General features: G+C 36.1%; 1 annotated feature.

The window, feature by feature from the left end:
• Positions 1-295: a silencer, noted in NCBI's record as "tiled region #7617; HepG2 Repressive non-DNase unmatched - State 13:Ctcf". NCBI's record gives its function as "represses a minimal TATA promoter and a strong SV40 promoter by Sharpr-MPRA in HepG2 cells {active_cell/tissue: HepG2}" and the evidence as "EXISTENCE:reporter gene assay evidence [ECO:0000049][PMID:27701403]".

Below are 699 nucleotides of genomic sequence, written 5' to 3'. Positions count from 1 at the left end.
ACTAAGTGGTTTGGGGATAACAAAAATATGAGAGGTTGGTGCTGATGAGAGATTGTTGGTGGAATGAATGAGTCTGGGAATTGTCTAGGCTACACAATGCCTGAATGTGGTGAAAGATCGCCCTCAAATGGTTTTTCCTGGTTGTGTCTAGGGACGCTGGAAATGTGTTGAGAACAGGTGCATGAGTGGCAGTGTTACATGTCCTAGGATTTGCATTTGGTGAAAACAAATATGAGGAAGATTAATCTTTTGAGACTTAATATGTGAGTAATAGAAATGATTACATTGGTGTTAAATAAATTACATCATCAGTCATGTTTTAATATTGAGACAGAAGGGCAGTAGGTCAGAAACCTTCTAAATCTGCAGAAGGATGCAAATAATTTTTATTTTTGACAAGAAGATTCACTTGCCAAAATTTCAACCCAAACTTAAAATATTGCATTTTCCCCCGTGGTATTCAGGGCATATTCTCTCAATGGTTACCCTGATAGAGTTCATTGATATTTGTGAAAAAAGAAAGAAATGGAAAAAAAAACCCTATTTTTGGTATCCACATATTTTTGTAAGTCTGGGGCTGGAGATATTTCAACAGCAAGAAACAGGAGAGAAGTTTCCTAGACACTAAGTCTGTTCAGCATTCTTCAATTCAGCCCCATTTTCAAAATTAATTAATGAAATTGCATCTTGATGAATAAG

Source organism: Homo sapiens, chromosome 11 (assembly GCF_000001405.40).
Source record: "Homo sapiens chromosome 11, GRCh38.p14 Primary Assembly".
In the NCBI taxonomy this organism is placed as follows: Eukaryota; Metazoa; Chordata; class Mammalia; order Primates; family Hominidae; genus Homo; species Homo sapiens.
This window is presented reverse-complemented; position numbering and strand designations above follow the sequence as displayed.